This window comes from Homo sapiens, chromosome 3 (genome assembly GCF_000001405.40).
Source record: "Homo sapiens chromosome 3, GRCh38.p14 Primary Assembly".
NCBI lineage: Eukaryota > Metazoa > Chordata > Mammalia > Primates > Hominidae > Homo > Homo sapiens.
In genome coordinates, this window is record NC_000003.12 from 100,706,669 (window position 1) to 100,733,155 (window position 26,487).

At 37.9% G+C, this 26,487-nt stretch overlaps 1 protein-coding gene across 12 annotated transcripts in view, besides 3 other annotated features; it reads left to right on the forward strand.

Annotated features, from left to right (window-relative positions):
- Window positions 2,394–3,285: an enhancer, noted in NCBI's record as "NANOG-H3K27ac-H3K4me1 hESC enhancer chr3:100427906-100428797 (GRCh37/hg19 assembly coordinates)". NCBI's record gives its function as "activates a minimal SCP1, AML or CMV promoter by ChIP-STARR-seq in naive and primed H9 embryonic stem cells {active_cell/tissue: H9 hESC(naive and primed)}" and the evidence as "EXISTENCE:reporter gene assay evidence [ECO:0000049][PMID:30033119]".
- TFG (trafficking from ER to golgi regulator) overlaps window positions 2,622–26,487 on the forward strand; it is a 39,678-nt gene continuing 15,812 nt past the window's right edge. For 2 of the 12 annotated variants that reach the window (NM_001007565.2, XM_005247066.3), the window contains exons 1-5: window positions 2,622–2,763; window positions 6,975–7,201; window positions 13,307–13,390; window positions 22,044–22,190; window positions 25,840–26,004. In NM_001007565.2, coding sequence (NP_001007566.1) covers window positions 7,018–7,201; window positions 13,307–13,390; window positions 22,044–22,190; window positions 25,840–26,004 — 580 coding nt within the window. In that variant the 5' untranslated portion in view covers window positions 2,622–2,763; window positions 6,975–7,017. Of the gene's footprint in view, window positions 2,764–2,825; window positions 3,154–3,257; window positions 4,401–6,974; window positions 7,202–13,306; window positions 13,391–22,043; window positions 22,191–25,839; window positions 26,005–26,487 lie in introns of those variants that run through there. The other 10 variants (XM_006713472.2, XM_017005527.2, XM_047447243.1 and 7 more) reach the window with 7 other exon arrangements.
- Window positions 2,923–3,152: a silencer, noted in NCBI's record as "silent region_14575". NCBI's record gives its function as "represses an Ori minimal core promoter by ATAC-STARR-seq in GM12878 lymphoblastoid cells {active_cell/tissue: GM12878}" and the evidence as "EXISTENCE:reporter gene assay evidence [ECO:0000049][PMID:35858748]".
- Window positions 3,286–4,176: an enhancer, noted in NCBI's record as "NANOG-H3K27ac-H3K4me1 hESC enhancer chr3:100428798-100429688 (GRCh37/hg19 assembly coordinates)". NCBI's record gives its function as "activates a minimal SCP1, AML or CMV promoter by ChIP-STARR-seq in naive H9 embryonic stem cells {active_cell/tissue: H9 hESC(naive)}" and the evidence as "EXISTENCE:reporter gene assay evidence [ECO:0000049][PMID:30033119]".

Consider the following 26,487-nt stretch of genomic DNA (forward strand, 5'->3'; position numbering starts at 1 on the left):
GTCCAGTCTGAGAATCCCGTTTTCATTCTTAGGATTTTTTCCCCCCATTCCATGTGAGGAGTTTTAGCTACACAGACTTTCAGGGAGAAAGAGCAGGTGGTAGCTAAGTTGGTTGGTTGACTCCTTCTCTTAAAATCACAGTGTAAGTCTTAACCCTTCTTCAGATGAAACATGGAAAATAACCTGTGTAGTGCAGAATCTCATATCTTTCCTTGCTACAGTCTGGGTCAAAGATATTTCCTTGCACTCCTTCTCCTTCCTTCACATATCCTCAACTTTAATATACTACCATTAAGCAGTATTTTCTTTTCTTTTTTTTCTTAGCAGTTCCTTGGAAGAAATGAGTAGTATTTTCTAGTTCAAGACTATGCTCAGTGTTCATTTAAAACCAAATTCATCTAGATGCAGAAAAGAAGGCCAGTATGTATCTACAGACATAGTAGAAGAGACCCATCTTCTTGTAAGTGAGGTAACTGGTTCAATTCAGGTTATGGCTCTGTCACTAGATATCACCTGTATTTATTGGGAGCTTAAGTACATAGATGTGCATCAGCTTCGACTTGAGAAATCACCAGAACCCCACCTCTCAAGTTCCACAGAAGTAGCTGGGAATAGGCTTTACCATAAAGAAGACTTTACTGATGGCTTCGGGATGAAGCATGAGGGAAATTACAACATAAAGAGCCTCAAGTTGCTTTCGGAGTCCATGAGCTCCATGAGCTCCAGCTTTTCCACAAGGCCAGCTTATGGGTGCCTCTCTTCCTAGCGTACAGATGACCACAGTGTAACAGGGACCAGCTTATTTCTCCTCAGTAGCAGGACTCTTGAGTGCCCCCTCACTGGGGATCCTCAGCAGATACTCTTTTCACCTTATAATAGGCCAAGGTTCACCTCCTTATCTCCTGCCTCAGGATCTGACCTCTTTTTAGTTTAAATATACTACTATAACAGTAGTATAATTCACTTCCTTCAGGGAATATTTTACCTTTGCCATATGGTTGTGGTTTTACCCCATCCCAAACCATCTTAATGACATCATAATACTATTATCTGACAGCAGTGCATCTCCCCAAATCTGTATTATTCAGTTTTAAAAAATAAGCAATGAATAACATTCTTTGGAGAGCAATTAGGAACTGTTTTTCATTTCTTCTGCAGTACTCCACTCCCTTATCCCTGCAAACAATTGCTCAAAGGTCAATACAACTGTTGGAAAATACAAATCAGAAGTGAACAGTGTAAACTTACATTATTTCACTCTCAAACAGAAGTTTCAGAGACTTATAACTGAAAAAGATCACACTACTTATGGTTGTAAAAGAACGTAGCTTCTCACCCTGAAACACCAGAATTTACTCCAGGTCCTTTAGGAGTATCTGGTGTTAAAGCAAACTAAATATGGCCTGAGAAGGACTCCATACATCTATACTTGAATCCTTGTGGATGAACTGTAACCTAGCTTAACAGACAAGATTGAAAACCTAACTTAGAAGTATGCGTCTCTTACAATAAGCGAGTCTTGGCCAATTCCAGCCGCCACACTTCAATCACTCATAGACTGCTAAGTGTTCAAATAAGGCCAACGCCAACCTGTAACCAATCCAGCTGTTTCTGTACTTCACTGCCAATTTCTGTACCTCATTTCCCTTTTTTTGTCTATAAATCTTCCACCACGTGGCTCTGCTGGAGTCTCTTAATCTGCTGTGATTCTGGGGGCTGCCCAATTCGTGAAATCGTTCACTGCTCAATTAAACTCCTTTAAATTTAATTCAGCTTAAGTTTTTCTTTTATAACTGGTAAACAACTGGAGACCAGGTAGGGTCTAAATGCTTTATTTATCAGCTTAGTCTCCACCTTAGAAGTGACAAACATTCTCCGTTTGGCCAAACTTCGGGCTCCTGGGCCTTCTCCTAGGACCATCTGTGCATCTTCTTGTAAAACTCAGTTTCAGCAAAGAACCTTGTTAAGGCAGTGTAGTGAGAATCCCTCACCCTTGATGGGGTTCCTCATCCTCCACCACCCCCAGGTGATGTCTGCTATCCTGGCCTATCTTCGTCTAGAATCCTGTTGTGTTGGTTTAGCCAGAATCTCCCTTGCCCCTGATATTTCCTCTTAGTAATTTTCCATCCACTGACCGACTTCCACCCCTTGGCTATAAATTCCTACTTACTCATACTGTATTTCTATTTGAACAGGTAAGGGAGAAGGGAAGAGTACGTAGGACACACTCAAATGCCTTATCCTCTAAAAATCACTCAGGAATCTTTAGCCTTAATTTCCCAGCTTTTGTCCTTTACACAGTTACAGATTTTCCTTGCTCATAAACGCTGTAGGTCTTCCCTGCTTAATTGGAAACTCCTTGCTCACAAAATGATTCACCCCCATTCCTAGAACCGGGCTTGGCAAAGCATAGGCTCCCAATAATGAATGAATGGATTTATAGAAGAAAAGGTTTTTTCTTTTTCAGCTGTTACTACAATGGTCAACAATAACGACAAAAACCACTTAAAGTTGGACAGACGTCTACTGCAACCAACTCTCAAAAAGTTTAGAACAGCGCACTACGCCCCGCCCATTGGCGAGAAACGGAAATACCCGCTTTCGAGAAAACCGGAAGTGCGTGGTCACGCCCCGCGCATGCGTGCATCGGGGCAGCTCACGCTTCCTAAATCCCGTCATCCAGTGAGAAAGCAGGGACTCTTCGGCCTAGGCAGCCGGGACCCAGCCAGCCCTGCGCCTCGCGCCGTCGCGCATGCGTCCTGGGTATGTCCACGCGCAATAAGGAGGGGCGAAAGGACATTTTTTTTTTTCTTGCTCCCGCCTCTGTTCTTCCCCCACCTGCCACGTACAGAGCCCAAGTTCTCGCTAGGCTTGTTGGGTCAGCGCGATTGGCCGGGGCCCGCGCGAGCCTGCGAGCGAGGTGCGGCGGTCGCGAAGGGCAACCGAGGGGGCCGTGACCACCGCCTCCCCGCGACGCCCCAGTCCAGTGGCCTCGCGTCCGCCCATTCAGCGGAGACCTGCGGAGAGGCGGCGGCCGCGGCCTCCGCAAGCCGGTATGGCCACTGGAGACGGGGGTTGCGGGCGCTCTGTCCGAGGAGGCCGGGAGACTAGGAGGCGCTGGGAGGGCCTCGTTCGAACCGCGCGGCAGCTGGGGTCGGAGGCACTGTGGGAAGGGGCTGGAGGGAGGAGGGGGTGGGAGGGAGGAGGGGGTGGGAGGGAGGACGAGGCCGGGGGGGAGGGCGGGCGGGGCCTTGCATGGGGGGAGGGGAAGGGAGGTCGCGGAGGGGGAGGGGAGAGAGGCAACCCCTGGCTGCGGTGGCCAGGAGGCGCGCCTGGGGGGCTCCGGGAGGGGAGTGCGCCAGCTAATGCCTTGGTGCAGCCTGCCTCCAAGCGTTTGGATTGAGAGGAGAGGGGCTTTGGGAGGTTTGGGGCGGCCGGCGCCCAATACCCGAAGGAGCTCGGAAGGGTGTGGAGTGGCGCCTACGGGAATAAGTTGATTGGGGTCATAGAATCGGAGCCTAGTTCCTTGGCTAAGTCAGCGCTTAATCAAGCGCCGGCTGGAGGCCCAGCCTGGTTTATAGTGATGATTCTAGCTAACTTTAAGAGTTTGCTTTGCTGGACACTACAGTAAGTATTTTGGATGCACTGTCTCATTTAATCATCACAAGGATTCCTCCAAATTCAGATATGGTTGTTTTCATTTCGAATGTGATGAAAGTGAGCCTTGGAGGACTTAAGATCACATAGCTAGTAGTGAGAATCTTTACCGTCTTGCTGCACTGCCTTTGAGGCAGGGTTTGAGGCCTCTTGGCATTCTTTAGAATAATTACAGGTTGACTTGGCTTAGTATTTCTTGAAGGAAACTGCTCCCCTCAGGAGGTGCTTAAGCCACAGCCTCTGAAATTGAGCAGGGTCTTACCCTTAGAGGTAGTAGAACCAGAAGTTTGTCCGCCGAACCTAGAACCTGGTTCAGGAGGCAGGCTTTTTATATGACCTTGGGCGTGTCAGATTATTCCCAGTGCTGAGAAAAGTGTACCTGGTAGAGGGTTATATTATACAAGTTAGAAGCCGAGTCATTTCTGGACTTCAGAGGGGGCGGGGCAAGGACAAGATGGGAGAAGAGCTTGTCGTAGGGCTCCTACTGGCAGTTCTAGGAACTAGTTAATACCAGTCTCTACTTTGGAAGAGAAAATGAGTACCAGAATTCTGTATGTGAAGTAATGTTGGGTTGGGATTTCCCCTTGAAGGGAAAGTTTTGTTGCACACTTACTTTTGAGATACTTTTGTGTTTACTCTGGGGAGATGACTGCAAGAGCAAACGACAGCTTTAGGAAAGAAGCACTGGTTCCTGGCCACAAGATGTTTACAGTCAATAGGAAACACAAAAAGTGAATTTGCAGGTAAACACGGCAGATAGAAAGTATACGTGACTCAATTTTTTTTTTTTTTTGAGACGGAGTCTGGCTCTGTCGCCCAGGCTGTAGTGCAGTGGCGTGATCCCCCAGCTCACTGCAACCTCCGCCTCCCGGGTTCAAGCGATTCTCCTGCCTCAGTCTCCTGAGTATCTGGGATTACAGGCGTGCGCCACGACAACTGGCTCATTTTTGTATTTTTAGTAGAGACAGGGTTTCACCCTGTTGATCGGTCTGGTCTTGGACTCCTGACCTCGTGATCTGCCCGCCTCGGCCTCCCAAAGTGCTGGGATTACAGGTGTGAGCCACCGTGCCCGGCCCTCAAATTTTAAATCCATTGAAATTGGGCAACAAACCCGTACCCCAGTCAGAAGGACATACCATCAATTATCTTCAAAGCTGGAATTTTTTTCTTAATTAGGAGTGTGTCTGATGGAAGTCACTTCTAGCTACATAAAGAAGGTACAGTGTGAGGGGTCGGATGTAAAAACTGATCTATATTACAGCTTTCTTCTCCCATAATTAAAAAATTTAAACAAAGTCTTTAAATTCTATATGTCAGGCACTTTTCTAGGTGCTGCTGGGAATAGATAGTACCAGCTCACTGAAGCTAAGCACTGGTTCCTTTTACATTATTGCTGGTTTACACTTCTTGTAGGAAGGAGAAGGTAACAAATACATTGATTTATTGAAAGGTCTTTATTACTCTTAGGCTGCCAGAGCAAGCAAGATGGAATATTTACCATCTTGGTGAAGTAATTATACTTTAGAGTTGGCACATAGTAGGTATTTAATAAGTAGTTCCTGAATACCGAAAGCATTGCAGAAGGCATTGCAGAAGGCGAAGAGTTGGTTGTGTGGAGATTTCTGTTAATCACTGTCTTCACGAGAAGTCCATTGTGAGAACTGGCAGATAAAAAGCTAACTGTATTCTTATTTTGCATTAAGATAAGCATGGCATCCCTAGAGTGGAATGCAGTTCACTCTGTTCTGCATTGACCTTAGAGTGTTATATTTAGTTTTAATGACCCATTTCATTGAAGATTTATTAATAAAATATCTGTTGAGAGCATGGTGAGGGGTCTAGAGATATTAATTTAAGGACTAGTTAGATGGAAGGACCTAGCGTATTTATATGAAGAATAGTAGGGCATTAATATATAATATTCATATAATAGGATTCATGAAAACTTTTTTGAAGTACTTGAAGGGTTGATATGTTGGGGGAGTAGGTGAGTGCTTTCACATACCCCGAAAGAATAAAGAATAATTGCAGAGAAGTGTGGTGTTAATGAAATAACAGATTTAAGAGGAGGAAGCAGAAAGCTGCTAGTAGTAAGGCGGGAAGTTGAAACTAGAATGTGGCCAGTAGTAGTTTGTAGGATACCTTGAAAAGTCTCAAGAGATCATTTTCTTGGGGCAGGAGGAGGAAGGAGTTATGCTTGGAAAATGTTCAGCGATTATAGATAACATTCAGGAACATCTTGGCCTTGAGAAGAAGAGATATTAATCCATTATTTTTCCCTTTATTTAATAGCTGTTGAATGACTGTTGTCTGCTAGGCACTGTTGTAGACTCTGGGAATATGGAAAACATAATCGTTTACTTCCTACCATCAAGTGGAAAAGACAATAAAATGTTATAAATTTTTAATGTCTGGTAGTGTTAAGTGCTTTGAAGAAAAATAAAGCAGGATAAGAAGATAATGCCAGGGGAGCCATTTTAAATTAGATGGTTAGGAAAGATCTCTCTCAGTTAACACTTGATAAGGAATCTGAATCATATGAGGGGTATCAGAAAGGGTCAAGACAAAGGGAAAACTTGAAGTATGGGAATAGCAGGGGTGAGTGAAGAAGAGAGGTAGGAAATGAAGTTAAATACTTGGCCAGGGACTGGAGGCCAGATGATTTTATAGGTCTTGCTTTTTGGGATGAGAATGCATTGGAAGGTTTTGAACAGAATGATACTAGGTTTTACTTAACAGTGTTAACTCTGGTGTTCTGAGACTAGATTAAAAGTGGGCAAAGGTAAAAAGCAGGCAGACTGGTTAGGAGTCTTTTCCAGTCATTTAGGCAAGTGATGATGGTGGCTTGAATCAAGTTGATAGCAGTGAAGGTGCTGAAGTGGTTGGACCCCAGAGTTATTTTAAAGGCAGTGGCAACCATATTTTCTTGGCAGTTTGGATGTAAGGTTTGAGAGAGAGAGATCAACCAAGATTTTTTTGTCTTATACAACTCGAAGGAAGATAAAGAAGCCTCTAGGAGAGGCAGGTTTTAGGTGGAAGATCAGGAATTTATTTTTAGATATATTAAGAAAAATCTAAATGGTCATGTCAGATGAACAGTTAAATATGAGAAAAAATAATAGTAGACGTAAAATAAAAGCTTATTTTATTATCCCTACAGTAAAATAATGTTGCCTCCAGACCATTTTAACATAAATATGGTAACATGGGGATAATGAATCTTTTGGAGGCTAGAGTTTCTTAGCATCTAATAGTAGCTTTGCTCTCAACTTTTACGGTATGTTTTGTTGTTTAATTATCAAAACCACTTTTATCAGTCTTTCTCTAGAGTTGTATATATAGAACATCCTGGAGTCCACCATGAACGGACAGTTGGATCTAAGTGGGAAGCTAATCATCAAAGCTCAACTTGGGGAGGATATTCGGCGAATTCCTATTCATAATGAAGATATTACTTATGATGAATTAGTGCTAATGATGCAACGAGTTTTCAGAGGAAAACTTCTGAGTAATGATGAAGTAACAATAAAGTATAAAGATGAAGGTAAGAGTGTTTTTAAAGCTATTTTTTAAAGTCTTTTTAAAAAAAAAAAAAAAAAGACAGAGCCTCTGTTGCCCAGGCTGGAGTACAGTGGTGTGATCATAGCTCAGTGTCACCTCAAACTCCTGGGCTCAAGCAATCCTGCCTCGGCCTCCCAAAGTGCTGGGATTACAGGCATGAACTGCCATGCCTGACCTTAAAGTCTTAAGTATTGTATGTGTTATTTTGCCCATTTTTATTGGACTCTTTCCCATCCTCTCTTCACGGTAGTTGAGACCTCACTTTCTTGTATTGAATGTGATGTTCCTATAGTTACTATAATTCTCTCATCAGTTAAAATTAGCTAAGTGGGGCCGGGCGCAGCAGCTCATGCCTGTAATCCCAGCACTTTGGGAGACCGAGGTAGGCGGATCATTTGAGGTCAGGAGTTCAAGATCAGCCTGGCCAACATGGCGAAACCCTGTCTCTACTAAAAATACCAAAAATTAGCTGGGCGTGGTGGTGTGCGCCTGTAATCCCAACTACTCGGGAGGATGAGGCAGAGAATTACTTGAACCCGGGAGGTGGAGCTTACATTGAGCCAAGATCGTGCCACTGCACTCCAGCCTGGGTGACACAGCAAGACTCCGTCTCAAAAAAAAAAAAATAGCTAATTGGTTTATTAGAAGGGAATTTTAAGTGTTAGAACATTTTCACATACATTTTTTTTACAAGCATTATTTTCTCCTTTTGTCCATATAATTCTGGTTTCTTTTAGCTTAAAAAAATTTTTTTTCTATTCTTATTTCCCGAAATGAAAGGTTTTAGTATGTATTGAATGAAAAAGGATTTTATGGTCAACTAAGTAAGGGAAAGCTGGTTTAAACAAAGACAAAAGTGTTTCTTTATTGTAGGAGTTTTCAGATTATGTAATATGCTTATATACATTTTCAGAAGTTAGTAGTATGCAGTGTTCCCAGACTCATTTGTTGACAAAATTATCTTTATGGAAATAGGTTTTGAATGAAAAATGTTTCGGCAAACACACTGAGTAGAATTATAGTAGTAGACTGTATTTCCTATTCTTCAACCTGCCTTCTTTGTTAATATCTCTGCTGAAATTTTCTCTTTAGGTGGTTACCAGTGTTTTTTACTGTGGAACTTACTTGCAGTGTATTTAATCTTGACCTCACTGTTTAGCACTGCTACCCACACCATCCTTGTTTTTAAATACTTTTACCTCTTAACATCTCTGACACTGCTTAACCTAGTTTTCTTATCACTAACAGTTTTTTCTCTGTCTGTGTTAGGGTTGGGCTTAAAGTAATGCCAGCAGATATAATAGAAATCTTAAAATCTGAGTGGTTTAATAGTTGAGAAATCTTTCAGGGATCCAGGTTGAAAGAAGCTGTTACCTTCAACACATGGCTTATAAGCTCACCATAGGCATTGACATTGGCAAGCAGATGAGTGAAGACAGAGTATGAAGAATCATATGGGAGATTTTACTCACTAGGCCTGATGGTGTTGTATGTCATTTCTGCCCTTATGACATTGGTCAGTACCCAGTTACATGGCTTTGCTAAGATGCAAATGGGTTGGGAAGTATAGTCCCTGGCTGAGCAGCCACTTAGCACAACTTATACTGTGGAGGAGAAGTGTAAATCACTGGTGATCAGTTAAATTGACCATCTAGCTAAAGGTATAATTCTCCTTTGTTTTTGTGATGTGTAGTCTAAGAATACCCAAAACAAATTTTTGAGAGTTGCCCATGTTAAGAAACAATAAAGGATAGTACTTTTTTCCTGTTTTCTTATGCTTATCATACATTGATTTGCACCTCTGTGACTTTGAAATGTGTGTCTTAATTTGATCAGTGAATTTTTTTTTTTTTTGAGACAGGGTCTCACTCTCATCCAGGCTACAGTGCAGTGGCATGATTATAGCTCATCATAACCTTTAACTCCTGTCCCCAGGCAATACTGCCAACCCGGCCTCCCAAAGGCATAAGCCACCATGCCCAGCCTACAATTCAGATTTTTAACTTTTTTTTTTTTTTAGCAAAGTCCCAAGAGTACTTTTTTTTTTAAATTTTGTTTTAATTGACAAATAATAATTGTACATATTTATGGGGTACATAGTAATGTTTCATTACATATAATGGGATTAGATCAGGGTAATTCGCATATCCATCACCTCAAATATTTATTTCTTTGGGTTAGAAACATTCAATATTCTCCTTCTAGCTATTTGAAATTATATAATATGTTATTGTTAACTGTAGTCATCCTATAGTGCTATAGAACACTGGAACTACTTCTATCTAGTTGTACTTTTGTGTCTTTTAATAAATCTCTCCCTATCCCTCTTTTCCCCTACCCTTTGCAGCCTCTACTGTCATCTGTTCTGCTTTTTACTTGTATAAGATCAACTTTTTTTAGCTTCCACATATGAGAGAGAGCATGTGGTATCTTTTTAACTTAATGTCTTCCAGTTCCATCCATGTTGCTGTGAATGACAGGACTTCATTCTTTTTTATGGCTGAATTGTATTCCATTGTGTATATATACCATATTTTCTTTATCAGTTAATCTGTTGTTAGACACTTAGGTTGATTCCATATCTTGACTATTGTGAATAGTGCTGCAGTAAAATGTGAGTGCAGATTTCTCTTCAATATACTGGTTTCCTTTCCTTTAGTTAAATATTCAGTAGTGGCATCGCTGAATTGTGTGTTAGTTCGATTTATAGTTTTTTGAGGAACCTTCATACTGTTCTCCCTAGTGGCTGTACTGTTGACATTCCTACCAATAATGTGTAAGAGTTCCCTTTTCTCTTCATTCTTGCCAGCATTTGTTATTTATCTTTTTGATAATAACCATCCTAACTGGGGTGAACCTTGTTGTGGTCTTCATTTTCCTGATATGTGTGCATTTCCCTGATGATTTGTGATTTTGAGCATTTTTTCATATATTTATTGACCATTTCTATGTCTTTTTTTGAGAAATGTCTGTTCAGATCATTTGCCGATTTTAAAATCGGATTGATTGTTTTTTAGCTGTTGAGATGTTTGAGTTCCTTCTATATTCTGAATATTCATCCTCTGCCAGATGAGTAGTTGTATTTCCTCCCATTCTGTAAGTTCTCTTTTCACTCTTGATTGTTTCCTTTGCTGTGCAGAAAAGTTTTCCAGTTTGAGATAATCATATTTATTTTTGCTTTTATTGACTGCACTTTTGAGGTCTTATTCATGAAATCTTTTCCCGACCTATTAAAGAGGTTATCCTTTTCCTAATGAGTGGTCTTGTCAAAAGTCAGTTGGCTATAGATAACATGGATTATGTTCTTTTGTTCTATGTGTTCTATTGATCTATGTGTTTGTTCTCTTGGTCAATGGGTCTGTTTTTATGTCAGTTCTGTTGGTCTGTGGGTCCGTTTTTGTGCCAGTCCATGCTTATTACAGCTTTGTAGTATATTTTGAGGTCAGTAAGTGTGACACCTTCAGCTTTGTTCTTTGCTCAGTATTGCTTTGACTGTCTGGGGTTGTATGTAGTTCTGTACAAATTTTATGGTTTGTTTTTAAATTTTTATGAATAATTTTATTGGTAGTTTGATAGGGATTGAATTGAATCTGTAAATTGCTTTGAGTAATTTTGTCATTTTAACAATATTTGTTCTTATATAAGCATGGGATGTCATTACATATGTATGCTCTTTGGTTTCTTTCATCAGTGTTTTTTTTTTTTTTTGTAGAGGTTTTTCATCTTCTTGGTTAAACTGCTTCCTAGATATTTAAAAAAATTTTTGTAGCTGTGGTTAATGGGATTGCATTTTTTATTTTTTATTGTATGTGTATAGAAACACTACTTATTTTTGTGTACTTATTTTGTTTCTGGCAGCTTTATTGAATTCATTTATTGGTTCTAAGGGTTTTGGTAGAGTTTTTAGGTTTTTGTTTATATAAGATTATGTCATCTGCAAACAGGGACAGTTTGCTTCCTTCCCAATTTGGATACCTTTTATTTTTTTCTCTTGCATAATTGCTCTGGCTAGTACTTGCTTAACTGTCTTTTTTTTATTTTTTATTTTTTTGTCTTGAGACAGGGTCTTGCTCTGTCTCCCAAGCTGGAGCGCAGTGGTGTGATCATGGCTCATTGAAGCCTTGAACTCCTGGGCTCAAGCAGTCCTTGCAACTCAGCCTCCCGTGTAGCTGGGACTGCAGGCATGTGCCACTGCACTCAGCTTCTTATTCTTAATGTTTATCAAAATGGGGGTCTCACTGTGTTGCCCAGGCTGGTCCTGAACTCCTGGGCTCAAGCGATCCTCCTGCCTTGGCCTGCCAAAGTACTGAGATTACAGGCATGAGCCAGTGTGCCTGGCCTTTAACTGCCTTTTTTCCCACTTGAAGATGCTTTGCCTTTATCTCAAACTGACCTCATTGACTGGCTTTCTCTTAACTACTGTTTAGGGCAAAGGTCAGCAAACATTTTCTTTAATAGATCAGAGAGAATAAATATTGTAGCTTTGTGGGTCACATAAGGCCTCTGTCTCATCTTTTTTTTACAATGTAAAAACCATTTTTCATTCACAGACCTATAACAACACAGGGATTTTGTCCGTTGGTCACAGTTCATGGACCCTTAGCTTGAGGTGTCCTCGTTGTAGTTTGTCTTCCACATTTAGTTACAACTTTGTATTTCATGGTTTTTTTTTTTTTTTTTTTTTTTTTTGAGACAAAGTCTTGCTTTGTCGTTTAGGCTGGAGTACAGTGGGGTGATCTTGGCTCACTGCAGCCTCCACATCCCAGGTTCAAGTGATTCTCCTGCCTCGGCCTCCCAAGTAGCTGGAATTATAGGCACACACCACCACACTCGGCTGATTTTTGTATTTTTAGTAGAGACGGAGTTTCTCCATGTTGGCCAGGCTGGTCTCGAACTCCTGACCTCAGGTGATCCGCCCACCTCAGCCTCCCAAACTGCTGGGATTACAGGTGTGAGCCACCGCACTTGGCCAAAAAGTTTTTGATTGTTTTGATTTGTGTCCGTTAGATTCTGTTAGTAGAGTGGAGGGATGGCTTAGGTAAAGTTCCTGCCATCAGAGATACTCTGTTTCTGTTGTAGGATTCAGAAAAGAAAAAAAGAACAGGAAGTTTTCTTCTTTTACATACATACTTTATTTTCTTTAAAAAATGTGTTTATGAAAATTGAACATTAAACAAGTATGTTATGGGAAGTGGGTCTGGCTATAAGGAGCTAAAAACAGTTATAAAATTCTCAGTTTTGTCATCTTTGCCCAAAATAAATCCAACTAATTAGTGTTAAAGTAGGTGCAGCAGAGCATCCCAGAAGTAGTCTTGTGGCCTCCCCAGGACAGAACTCCTCCCCACCCAACTGTTTGTGAAGACACCCTGCAGAGGTCCCTGATGAACTCCTTGTCTCTGGCTGCTTTTCTGTTCTTGCTTTCTTTAGAGAATGTATTTTTCCCTTAGCCCTTTGAAAGCTTTTGAGACACACAGTTGGTATGCCAATTATAGCATTCTTTATCCCTGAGATCTGGGGGATTTCACGGTCATAAATACACACTGTTTTGAATATATAAATATTTTTCTGGGGAGAGTTGATTGTTTTCATCTTAATATCAAAATGGTCAGTGACCTGAAAGAATTTACTGTCTATCCATTCATTAAAGCAGTTTTGCAACAGTAGTGTTTTACTCTACCTATGATTAAGATTTGAACTTTGGGAAACTTTTTTATTTCTTGGTAAAAGATGTAAATTTTTTGGAATGAAAAGATTTCAGTCTAAACCAACAATTTATGATATTGCTCTCTATGAATCTCTTACTAGTGACTAATAAATATTAAGGCACTTAATGGATTCACTTTAGCTGTATTTTTTCATGTGGATATGTGTAAATACCTTGCCATAAGAGTAATAAGCAAAATTGATTTAGTATATTTTTGAACAAATGCATTTTTGCTAGACCTTTAAAGTTTAAGGTTTCTATGGGAGAGTCCAACTATGTTCTACAATCTACATTTTGGATTTTTAATTTTTACTAGTTTACTGCTTATACAAATCTGAAAATTTAAAAAATTAAAAAACAACCTTTTTTTTTTTTAAATTCCAGATGGAGATCTTATAACAATTTTTGATAGTTCTGACCTTTCCTTTGCAATTCAGTGCAGTAGGATACTGAAACTGACATTATTTGGTGAGTAGTAAACTTTCTAATGAATTTACTATTTTATTCATTGTATTTTAAAGATGTTTGGCTTTTTTCCTTTTAAAGACTCAGGTAAGCAATAACTTATTCAAATATTATTACATTTATTTGTGTTCAGGTAGTTGTTTTAGATTACTTGAAGCTTATGGCTGTGTATGTTTTTAAGAAAATGATAGAAGTTTAATTCAGTAAGAACAGAGTGTTAAGTATGTTTTTTTTGAAATCAGGTATAACTTAGGTATCCCTGGTGCAGTATTATAGTTTTAATTTAGCTGTATTAGAATTTTTAAATTGTAATTATCTTCCTTCACATTACAGTATGTTGTTACTTATTATCAGGGCTTAACATGTAAGTCTGATACTTGAAACCAGTAGTCGCCAACCTTTTTGCACTGGAAACTGGTTTCGTGTAAGACAGTTCTTCTATGGAAGGGGGCAGGAGAAGGTTTGGGGATGAAACTCTTCCACTTTGCATGTGCAATTCACAATAGGGTTCACACTCCTATGTGAATCTAATGCCACTGCTGAACTGACAGGAGGCGGAGCCCACCACTTAACCTCCTGCTGTGCTGCCCAGCCCGGTTTGGTTCCTAACAGGCCACAGAGTAGCACTGGGTTGGGGACCCTTGCTTTAGACAGTATTTCCCGAGGGGTACTTAAAGATTAAAAATAGTTCTGATAAAAACCAATAGAAGACTAATTTTAATCTTTTAGATTTTTTCTTTTAGATCTTAATAGATATGCAAGGCAGAACTCTTAAGGGACAAGATAGAAAAGATTACAGAGTTAAATGGTAGTGTGATTATGTGAAAAATAAAATGTGTACACTTTTTCCGGCTGTTTTGTTGTTTTGTTTAGCATTAATTTTATTTTTTTTTAATTTTGTTGCATGAAACTTAGAGTTCAGTGTGAAATATGATCATGGTCTATTGATTTAATTTGTATCTATTTCATCTCCATCTAGGAAGGATGAATATGAATAATCAGAATTTAAATGTTAATAACAAAAACTGTTTAAAATTATTTAAAATAAAGGTATCTTTTTACAGTATTGAATGTAAAATACTTAACTATTGACTAGGCATAAAGCAGATTAGATAATCTGAAGACCCTTACTTTAAACAGGATCTGCTAGATAAACTTACAAATGTGTTTTCTGAATTCTGTAACTCAGCTTGCACAGGAAAGTAAGGGAAATATCCAGGGAACAAAAAAGTAGAGGGAACTAAAGGCCTGATGTACCAAAAGCTGAAACTTGGGGTGTTCTTGGTGGTGATAGTAGAGATTTTAGCCTGCATAATTTAAGGAATTGCCATCTGGTGTCTACATGGTGTAGGCCCTTGGTCCTAGTCCCTCAGTAGGCCATGCTTTCAAAAAGAATATTTTAGAAAAGTCTACCTTGATACAGGGAAAGTCAAGGAAGCTTAACTCTTATACCTTGGGCCGTCAGGGGCTTGGGAAGTCTCCCTTCAGGATTCATAATTGTGGTCCTTAGGTGAGTTGGGTTTAAATTTAAACTATCCATGTAGTTTGGTAACTCCCAAGCCCAGATGTTACCATTTTAGAAAAATCTCAGAAGAAAGGCCAAAATCTCTCTTGAGGGGTATATTCTCAATCCAGGTCACATAGGTTTCTCACAGACAAAACCGTAAGACACATGAAGCTGTCAGGTAAGCAAGAACCACTGGACACAACTAATAGCAGGATTAGATTTTCAACAACTTCAGTTAAGATATGTGATAGTCTACAAAATTAAAAGTTATTTAAGACATAGAAGAAGGAATAAGAATATAAAAGCAGCCGGCCGTGGTGGCTCACGCCTGTAATTCCAGCACTTTGGGAGGCCAAGGCGGGCGGATTGCCTGAGTGCAGGAGTTCGCGACCAGCCTGAGCAACACGGTAAAACCCTATCTCTACTGAAATGCAAAAAATTAGCCAGCTGTAGTGGTGTGTGCCTGTAGTCCCAGCTACTTGAGAGGCTGAGGCAGGAGAATTGCTTGAACCTGGGAGGTGGAGGTTGCAGTGAGTCGAGATCGCGCCACTGCACTCCAGCCTGGGTGACAGAGTGAGACTCCATCTCAGAAAAAACAAAACAAAACGAGAACATAAGAGCAAGATGCTATTGTATTATGGAAAAACAATAAACAGATTTTATAAAGAACTTAAAGTAACTTGGAAATGAGAAATATAATCATTGAAATTAAATACTAAGTGGATAGGTTAAACACATTAGTCATAGCTAAAAAGAGAATTAGTGAACTGAAAAGGAAATCCAAAGAAATTACAGAGTAAAGCACAAAAACACAGGCAAAAGAGAAGTTGAAAATGAGAACATCCAGAATATTTCTATTCAGAGTTTCAAGAAGGAGAGAATGGGAGAGTGGAAATACATTGAGGTAATGACTAAAGAAATTTTCAGAGTTATATAAAAGCTATAGACCCTCAGATTCAGAAGGCACGGGGAGCCTTGAGCAGGGATAAGTAAAAGTAAATCCCCACTGGACATATTGTCATGAAACTGGAAAATGTCTTAAGACAGAGAGATTACCTTAAAAGTAGCCAGAGAGAATAAGACTGATCACATATGAAACAATTAGACTGTTAGTAGACTTCTTCATAGTAATAATAGAGGCTAAAAGACAGTATTATCACAGTTGCAAACAGTAAAGAAAAATAACTAGAAAAGTAGCATCCTATACTCCACTAAATTTCACGAATGAGGAGAAGTAAAAATACTTTGAAAGACTGAGAATTTACCACTCATGGACCCTTGTTAAAATAATTTTTAACAGTGGTCTTCATCAAGAAGGAAATTTAGTCCAGAAGGTGGTGAAAGATGCAAGAAGCAATGTGAGCAGATAAACTGTTGCTTGGTCAGTAGGCTATGCTTTCAAAAACTATTTTAGAAAAGCTTTTCCATTGATACAGAAAAAGTCAAGGAAGCTTAACTCTTAAACCTTGGGCTGTCAGGGGATTGGGAAGCACCAATGAAATTTATGTGTACGTTTTAATGAGCATTGATTGTTACAAAATTAATAGTCTTAGGGAATAAAAACAATTTGGGACAAAAATACTGGGCAATAATATGTAAGAAAGGAAGGGATGATAGGAATAAAAATATTTTAAGGACTTATTTGGGAGGAACATTGTAATTACCTTTAGATTTTTTTAATTGCATACTACATATGCAGAAGTATGCATGGTGTACATGTAAGAGTTATAATTGAAAAATTAGACATTGTCAGGAAAGGAGAAAAAAAGAAAACAAGGGTACCTGTTCAGTTCAGTAGAAAGTGGTGGCGGAATAAAAGAGGTAGAAAGCTCAATAGATAGAACAGAATACTAATCACAGTACACAGAAATTGACTACATATATCGGTTAAAATAATCTCTTAATGGAATTTTAAAAAAAATCCAGTTCCATGCTACTTCCAAGAGACATAAAAGATTATTATGCAAAGCTTGAAAGTAAAGGGCTAGGAAAAGAGACTAGACAAATGCAAAGAAAGCTGGTTATTAACAGAATAGACTTATATAAAAACTTGAGTAGTAATAGTCACTTTATGATGATAAAAAGAATAATTCACTAGGACTATATAGCAATCTGAACACTTATGCATGTTAGCTTTAGATGTTTTCCCCTAAGAAAAATTGACAGAACAAAGAGAAATCAATAAATTTACAATTATGGGAGAGCCGATAAATCAAGCAGGCTCAAACAGCGTTGGTCTTGTACATCTAGCAGTTAGGGAGAAATACAGTTTTTTTTTTTTTCGAGTACTCATAGTGCATTATAGAAGTTGACTGTAAGTCAAGTCTTCCAGAAAATCCCAAAATGTAACAGATAATTAGATATCTTAAAGGTCATATTCTCTGGCTTCTTTAGAGACTATTGGACAGAATATGTAACCCAAATTTCCCTACTTTTGGAGACAAAATATGGTTTTAAATAAGTCAAAGAAGAAATAATAATGGGAATTATAAATAAGTAGATAATGACTTCTATGTAACCAAGTTTTTAGAGAATGCTAAAGCTGTACTTAGAGTAGTACTTACAGCCTTAAATACTTTATATTAGTAAACTGGATTGGAAATTTTTGAGCAAGGTATTCAAACAGTTACAAAAGGACAAACCTCAAATAACTTGGAAGGAAATAATAAGAGCAGACGTGAACTAGAAATTGGAATTGTTAGGATCAACAATTTTGAAAAGATGCAGTTGGCAAATCTTTATGAGGATTAGTTAAGGAGAAACAAGGCACAAATAAGCAATGTTAGAAATGAAGTTTATAGTAGAAACTTTAAAAATTTATATATACCATGAATTCCTTTATTTAAATTTGAAAACTCAGGTGACATGGACAGTATCCTAGGTAAATTTAATGTACTGTTTCAAGAAGTAGAAAAATTGGTTGCCCCAATTAACATTAAAGAAATTGGGCCAACTATTTTACCAAATATCTAAGGAACAGATGATTCTAAATTATACAAACTATTCAAGAGCATAGGCAAAGAGGGAATATACACTAATTCATTTTGTGGGGTTAATATAACATTAACATGAAAACCAGCCAAGGAAAATGCAAACCAGTGTCACGTATGAACATAGATAGAAAATATTAAGTAATATTTACAAATCAAACTCATCAGTGAATATTTAAACACACCAGTGTCAAAATTGCTCACCCAAGGAGTCTAAGATTGCTTTAAATTAGAAAATCACATACTATTTTCCATAAAACAGATTAAAGGAGAAAAACTAGATCATCTCTAGATAAAGAAAAGCCATTCATATCTCAATCATGTTGAAAAGTCGTAGCAAACTATGAATAAAAGGGAATTCTTTTTTGTGAGGCAGAGTCTCTCACTGTTGCCCAGGCTGGAGGGCAGTGGTGCGATCTCAGCTCACTGCAAGCTCCGCCTCCGGGGCTCACCCCATTCTCCCATCTCAGCTTCCCGAGTAGCTGGGACTACAGGCACCTGCCACCACGCCCGGCTAATTTGTTTTTGTATTTTTAGTAGAGACGGGGTTTCACCGTGTTAGCCAGGATGGTCTCGATCTCCTGACCTTGTGATCTGCCTGCCTCGGCCTCCCAAAGTGCAGGGATTACAGATATGAGCCACCACGCCTGGCCAAAAGGGAATTCTTTTACCTCATATGGGGGCATTTATTACGTAGAACAACTGCTGTATGCCTAATATAAAAGGATTATAAATGTAACTAAAATACCTATTATAATTATATACAACAAAAGATACTTGGGATAAATCTAACATGGCAAGATTGTTTTGGATGAAACATAAAATTTTTTAAAATCAAGTAGGGGAATGGGTTTTGAGGAAAGGTACTCTGGGAGATTTAATTATGTCTATGCTGTTTCATTTCTTAGTGGTTAGGAGCAAAGATGAAAAAAATACTAAGATTTGGCCAGGTGCGGTGGCTCACACCTGTAATCCCAGCACTTTGGGAGGCCGAAGTGGGCAGATCACGAGGTCAGGAGTTCGAGACCAGCCTGGCCAACATGGCGAAACTCCGTCTCTACCAAAAATACAAAAAAAAAAAAAAAAAAAAAAATTAGCTGGGTGTAGTGGTGCGTGCCTGTAATCCAGCCACTTGGGAGGCTGAGACATGAGAATTGCTGAACCTGGGAGGCAGAGGTTGCAGTGAGCCAAGATCAGGCCACTGCATTACAGTCTGGGTGACAGAGCAAGACTCTGTCTCAAAAAAAATATAAATACATATTAAGCTTTAACAAAGATGGGTGTTTAGTAAGTTTATCTTGTTGTGTGCTTGAAATGGTTCATTAAAGTCTTATGATTATATTCACACTAATGAAGATACATTATTATGTGTGCTAGGGTTCTCCAGAGGGATGGAACCAATAAGATACATGGGAGTTTTTTAGGGAGAATTGCAAGGTGATTACAAGGCGAAGTCCGGTGATAGGCCATCTGCAAGCTGGGGAAAGAGAGAAGCTGATGCTGATAGTGGCTCAGTGGCTCAGTCCAAGTCCAAAAGCCTGAAAACCAGGGAAGCTGATAGTGCAGCCTTTGTCTGTTGCCAAAGGCCTGAGAGTCCCCTGGGAAGCTGCTGGTACAAGCCCTGGAGTCCAAAGGCCAAAAAACCTGGAGTCTGATGTCCAAGGGCAGGAGGAGTGGAAGCAAGCATCTGGCATAGGAGGGAGAGCGAGCTAAAGACCCAGCAAGCAAACTTATCCTACCTTCTTCTGCCTGTTTTGTGATAGCTGCACTGGCAGCTGATTGGGTGGTGCCCACCAACACTGAAGATGGGTCTTCCTCTTCTGGTTCACTGACTCAAATGTCAGTGTCCTCTGGCAACACCCTCACAGACACACCCAGAAACAGTACTTTACCAGCCATCTAGGCATTCCTCACTCTAATCAAGCTGACACCTAATATTAACTTAATTAATTTAAACTTAGCTAATTTAAACTTTTAATTGAGTATAATTTGGAGCTTAGTGCTCTTAAACCCACTGAGTAGATAATAACAGATTATAGGCCATACTAGGAATGTAAATGCAAGGTTCTTAAAAGTTCTGGTAAGATGTATCAGTGTGCTCCAAAGACCACCAGGAACACACCTGTAGTTGAATGAAGTTGGGTTTACTGACTTACTGCAGCAAGGGAGAATGAATACCACGGAGAACAATAGGATGTCTTACAAGTATGTTAGAAAAGTATTTTTTTTTGGGCTTGGGTTTGTGTTACCTGATTTTGGATAAGGTTCAAGGAAGTAGAGCTTTGCTCTGCATTGGATGCTCTCAGGAAGTAGAGATGATTCTATGTTTGGGTATCTTATCAAATCTTATCTAGAAGGTGAGAGGAATGAATCTTACTAAATCTTATCTGGAAGGTGAGAGGAATGAATTGAGGCTAAAGCTGCAGTTGGTAAAGTAGTAGCAGTTACTCATATTAGCCAGGATAAAAGGTTGTTTGGTCATTTTTCTGGTGTGGTCAGTGTTCTTGTTTTTGTCTGGAGTTTTGACATGGTTATGGACTGTTGATCTATCACAGATTATAGTCTTGTGTGATGTTGGTGTTCTTTGAAATATTTATATTCAACGGGAGAACACCACAGCCTACCTGTGAGTGCCAGGCCAGCTTCCAGCAACACTAAGGCCTGTCTTACTGTACCAGACCAGTTTCTGGCTGCTAGGAGCTGTTTTTCTCATCAAATATTGGAGAAAAAACAGTAATACCAAGTGAAAACCAATAATTGATGTAGGTAGGAGATTGTATTGAACTTCATAGCTATGCAGGGAGTATGTGAATTACTGTGAGTTTTCTTCTAAAAGCTTATAATTGGTGGTTTGATTTTGAAACATGTTTAACAAAGAATCGCCCTGAACTTTTATTTTCACGTAGATGTCCTTTTCTAATTAGGTGCTTCAGGAGTTTGTATGTATGTATACTGGCAATGTGCAAAGCATTTTAGTTTAATTTTTGAACGCCTGTCTTGGGGTTTGCAATCAGAGCCTTGTGTCACTTTCTTTTTAAAAATAACCTGAGTGGTGACAGTGTTTGTTGCTGAATGAAGGATTTCATTTTTTTCAGTCAACTGAAAATCATTTGGACAAAATGAATAATAAGTGAAGTAATGTTGCTTTCATTAAAAAATCACAACTAGAGATTACCGAGTAATCTCTGGCATTTTGTGGCTTATATACTGTTTCTGGAAGTAACTGCTTTGAAGGACAGTCATGATGTAGATAAGTTCTGCATATATTTTTAAATTTATATTTATTTTTTAAAATTTTTTGAGACAAGGTCTCCCTCTGTCATCCAGGCTGGAGTGCAGTGGAGTGATCTCAGCCAACTGGACTTCCCCTCCCGGGATCAAGCAATCCTCCCACCCCAGCCTCCTGAGTAGCTGGGACTGCAGGCATGTGCTGCCACACTTGGCTAATTTTTTAAGGTTTTTGTAGAGATGAAGTCTCACTGTATTGCTCAGGTTTTTCTTGAACTCCTGGGCTCAAGCAGTTCTCCCTCCTTGGCTTCCCAAAGTGGTGGGATTACAGGTGTGAGCCACCATGCCTGGCCCTGCATATATTTTTTTAACGATTTCTTTTAAGATCAGCTATTTTAGTTAGCTGTTTTTTTTCAAGACAAAGTTATGCAAGAGGGATAACAGACCTATCAGTCATGTTATATCTTTAAACATGTATAGAGTAAGGTATTTTTGTATTATTTTAAGAATAGCGTGAAATAAAATGAGCTTTTTAAGTTATATAATTTTTATTAAATTTAATAATTTCTATTAAATTTAATAAATATTTAAGAACAGCATGAAATAAAGTGAGCTTTTGAAGTTATGATTTTTATTAAATTTAATCATTTCTATTAAAAAGTAGAGCTCGGATTTTCCTACCAAACCTTTTTACCAGTAAGGTCATAGGCTATAGGTATGGCATCAAGAAAGACTGATAATTCTGCTTTTTTTCCAAAATAAGTTATTAGCCATAGAGAATTCTTTTTTTTTAAAAAAAAAGTTACTCCATTACATTGATATCTTGTTTTTGTTTTTTTAAAGGAATTGTATTTATTTTTCCTTGTTGCATATTATTAGTATACTTATTCATGAACTTCTAATTTTAAGCAAATAAATGTTTTTATTTCAGTTAATGGCCAGCCAAGACCCCTTGAATCAAGTCAGGTGAAATATCTCCGTCGAGAACTGATAGAACTTCGAAATAAAGTGAATCGTTTATTGGATAGCTTGGAACCACCTGGAGAACCAGGACCTTCCACCAATATTCCTGAAAATGGTAAACCCTGAATCCATTGTATTCTGACTTATTGTTCTTACGTCTTTTTGGAGGTTTTAAAAAACTCTTTTTAAGTAGGAGAAGGATGGCATCCCCAATGTCACTCTTGTTTCTTCCTCTGCCTCTCTACTAGTATTTATGTCTGTGTTCCTAAACTTTGCTGTTCATCAGAATTACTAGGAGGTTTCATTATACCAATTTCTGGATCTCATCATAGACCTACTGGAGCGTAGCACCTGGAAATCCCATTTTTAAAGTGTTTTTTGGGTGATTCTTTCGCAACTAGTCTTAGACTTTTGGATTTGTTACACAGGTCAGTTTTCAAATCCTTTTGACACATGAACCCTTTTTAGTATAATAGATAAGTAATGAACCTTGGGAATTGAAAATCATTTCATGAATAATTACATAGTGTTGGAAGTATTTTCAACTAAAAATCACTTAGATTAGTAATGTTCATTAAAAATGGTATGTTGTAAATTTGAAACACAGTTTTTAATAATAATTAAAGAAAAACTAATTTTTTCCCCATTGTATAATGACATGTACTGTTTGTGTTAAGATAAAGCAAAATGTGTCAACATTTGGAACTGACATAATTTTGGGACCGAATGTATTTTAAAATGTGGACTGAACTTTAAGTATGTGTTAATGACTTGAAAGTACAGTTAAAAAACTGCTTTCTTCTTTTAAGATTCTTAGATGTTGCATTTAAAGAAAACTCTTATTATTATTTTTTTCTTTTTACAAATTCTTTGTTTGCTTATAATTTTCATAGTTTAAAACTGTCCATATTGTGAAATAGTAATTTAAAAAAAGTCTAGACTGGATGACTGCATATAAAGGGCTTAACATGAGATAATTTTTGTGGATAAATGGTATGTATTCTATTTTTGGCCACTAAATATTTTGGAAGTTTTTGTTTTCTATTTTTATTTTAGTTACAGTTTAAATAAAGATGTATTTTCCATCATTTCTCTCTTCCTGTCTTCTAATAGTCATATGGAATTATGTTAATGATAGATGTTTAATAAATATTTGGTGATTGATTATTCCTAGTTGCACTTCTATTTCAGAACATAATGGAGATTTGCTGAATACTATAATGAGATCCTCTTGGTCACTTTATGATGAAACCTTTTATATTTCAGGTCAAAGAAGGTTGCCTATTCTGAGCCCTACCTCTCCAAACAAAAATTTCCAATTTTAGATCAAGAATCAATGAAAAAGTTAGACAATTTTTCCAGAAGAATTCATAGATGCTGACACAACATTTGCATATAATTTCAGGGGATTTAACCATCTGCAGAATATTAAGAAGTGTAGATGAGAATTTAACCAGTATAGCCAATACTGTTCAGAAATTAGCTACAGTGGCCCACATTCTACTCTAAGGAATGGATTTATGAGTTTTTTGCTTTAGGTGAAACTTTTTCCTCACCTCTTTCTTGCTACTGTTTATACTTTATTCTTTGTGTCTATATTTTTTATACATACTGTTAGCTTTTTACCTATGTTAATGTAAAAGGTGTTAAAATTGGTTTCTTCTCTGCATTTTGGAAATCATGCCATATGTTGTTTTCTTGTATGGCCATTTTCTAGTTATTGTGTCCTGTCTGACATATCTGATGATAAGATGATATAAGAATAATACAATCTGCATTATATTTTTAGAGATAGTTCTTATTTTTTTAGAAAACAAAAACAACAAGAAAACCATACATCAGAAACTGAAATCTAGTCCACAAAATGAAATTGCCAATCAGCTATCAGTGCTATTTAGAACCTGTGGCTTACCCTCACCAAGAAATGTGGCCACCTGTGGTCTTCAGCTCTCTATTACAGCGGTTCTTGGATGCTTGTTTTCCTTTAAGAGGCAAATGATGTGTAAACTACCTTAGATAGAAGATTGACCTGTTGCAGTATCTCCAGCAGCTAATGGAGCAAGTAGTAGGACGTATAGTATGTTTCCTGATGGTTTTAGTTTGTGATAAGTGAAAAGAGGCATAGGTAGTGAGATGTGAGGGGAAACAACTTGTAAGACTGACGTGGTATGCTCTTGGGATTAGAGGAAGGAAGTTGGTAGGGAAGATAGATAACTGGTAGACATGTTTTAAAGGAATACTTCTAGTAGTAGTTTTCTTTTTCCAAACATTTAGAAAATATTAGGGTAGCCTGGAATGGTATGTTAGGAATGAATGAGCTGCCAGCCAGTGTGTGCTGTGGGTACTTATATTCGGTTTAGCACTTAACATTTTTTTCAGAAGATACATTTTGTATTGATTACAGGGGTGATCTAAGAACTGATGTTCATTTACTTGCTTGGTAACAAAAGTGATAATCATTGTCCCTTAATTGAGTAAATGGTTAGCAACAGTCTTTTTGTTTACTTGTTCGTGTTTTTTGTTTGTTTCTTTTGATGTCTTTTGTATCTTGGACTTGGATTCCTATTTGTAAAATGTATGTTAAAATTCTTGAACTCTTTTTCTTTCACAAGACAGTAGTATAAATGCCTGTGGAATATCTTAGTATCCTGAGAAGAAAAGCATGATTTTAAATTTAACCTGCTCATAATATTTGACATTTTGTTTTTCTGTTGTTGTTTTAAACATTTTATTATAGAAAAGTTTAAGTATATAAGAAAGTAGACATTATAATGAATCCCAGAAACCCACATCCAGTTTCAACAGTTACCAACTTATAGTATCATATAATTACACTATACACATTTCCGCCCCTCCTGTTACCCAGAGTGGAGTACAATCTCAGCTCACTACAAACTTTGCCTCCTGGGTTCAAGTGATTCTCGTGACTCAGCCTCCTGAGTAGCTGGGATTACAGGCATGCATCACTGTGCCTAGCTAATTTTTGTATTTTTGGTAGAGATTGGGTTTTGCCAGGCTGGTCTCGAGCTCCTGACCTCAAGTGATCTACCCACCTCGGCCTCTCAAAGTGCTGGAATTACAGGCATGAGCTGTTGCACCCGGCTCCCCTCCTGTATTATTTTGATGCAGATCCCATATACATCATTTCATCTGTAAGCATTTTAATAAGTATTTTAATAAGTAATACATATTAAAATAGAAGGTAGCAAATTCAAAAATGTTTTTAATGTGCTATTTATGGAAGATTATGAATTAATTATGGTTGGCTTGATTTCCATGTAATTTAATAGTGGACCAGTAGACAGTAGAAATAAAATGTAAAATTTGAGATTATAACCTTAGTTCAGTTTCTTTTTATAAAATAAAGCCTTAGTTCCTATAATTATTATTTCCAGAGTGCCCAGTGGGTATCTGATACTAGGATATAGGTTATTGGGCTCCAAAAAAACCAAAAAAAGTAAAATGTTTCTCTTTATCAAGGAGCTTGTATTTTTTTCATCTAATGTTTCTTACAAAAGGAGGTAAATAATTTTTTTGGAAAGCTTTTGTTCATCTTCTGTTTCTTTTTGCCCTCTTCTCCCTGTTACTAGAAGGAAAAATATAAAAAAAATAAAGGAATTAAAATGATCTGTAATCCTATATTCCGACATGCTTAACATTCCAGACTATCATTATACACCTGCATTATTTCCCTTGTACTTTTAGGCCTTACTGAATATAGATAAAAAGGAAACAAGTTTTTGTTTATTCCTCTATTTTTACAGATACTGTGGATGGTAGGGAAGAAAAGTCTGCTTCTGATTCTTCTGGAAAACAGTCTACTCAGGTTATGGCAGCAAGTATGTCTGCTTTTGATCCTTTAAAAAACCAAGATGAAATCAATAAAAATGTTATGTCAGCGTTTGGCTTAACAGATGATCAGGTTTCAGGTAAGTTGGTTTCCAACTCCTTTACACCCTTCGTTTCCTTCATCTTTCCGTTCTTCCCTTTCCTTCTTTCTTTAATTGAAGAATAACTTGGATATGGTGAAGTGCACAAATCTTAAGGGTTCTGCTTAACAAATTTTTACATATGTGTACACTTATGTAAAAGACTAACTAGATTAAGATGTAGATGATTTCCAGCACTTCAGAAAGCTTTCTTATGTCCTCTCCCCAAGAGTAGCACCCTCCCCCTTAAAGAATAAGCACTGTTGGGTTCAAGTAAATTTTTGAAAGTAAAATTTAGAAAGTTTTTAAAAATCTGAACTATTTTATAATTTGATTAGTTGCAGTATTCGAATTATATTTGATTTGTCTTATCTCCTCATCTTAGAGAAATTGAAAATTAAATGTAGATTTTCTTGTTAAATTGCTTGAGTATACAGTGGGTTTTTATATAAATAAGTTTTTAACCTTAAAGCAGTACCTATA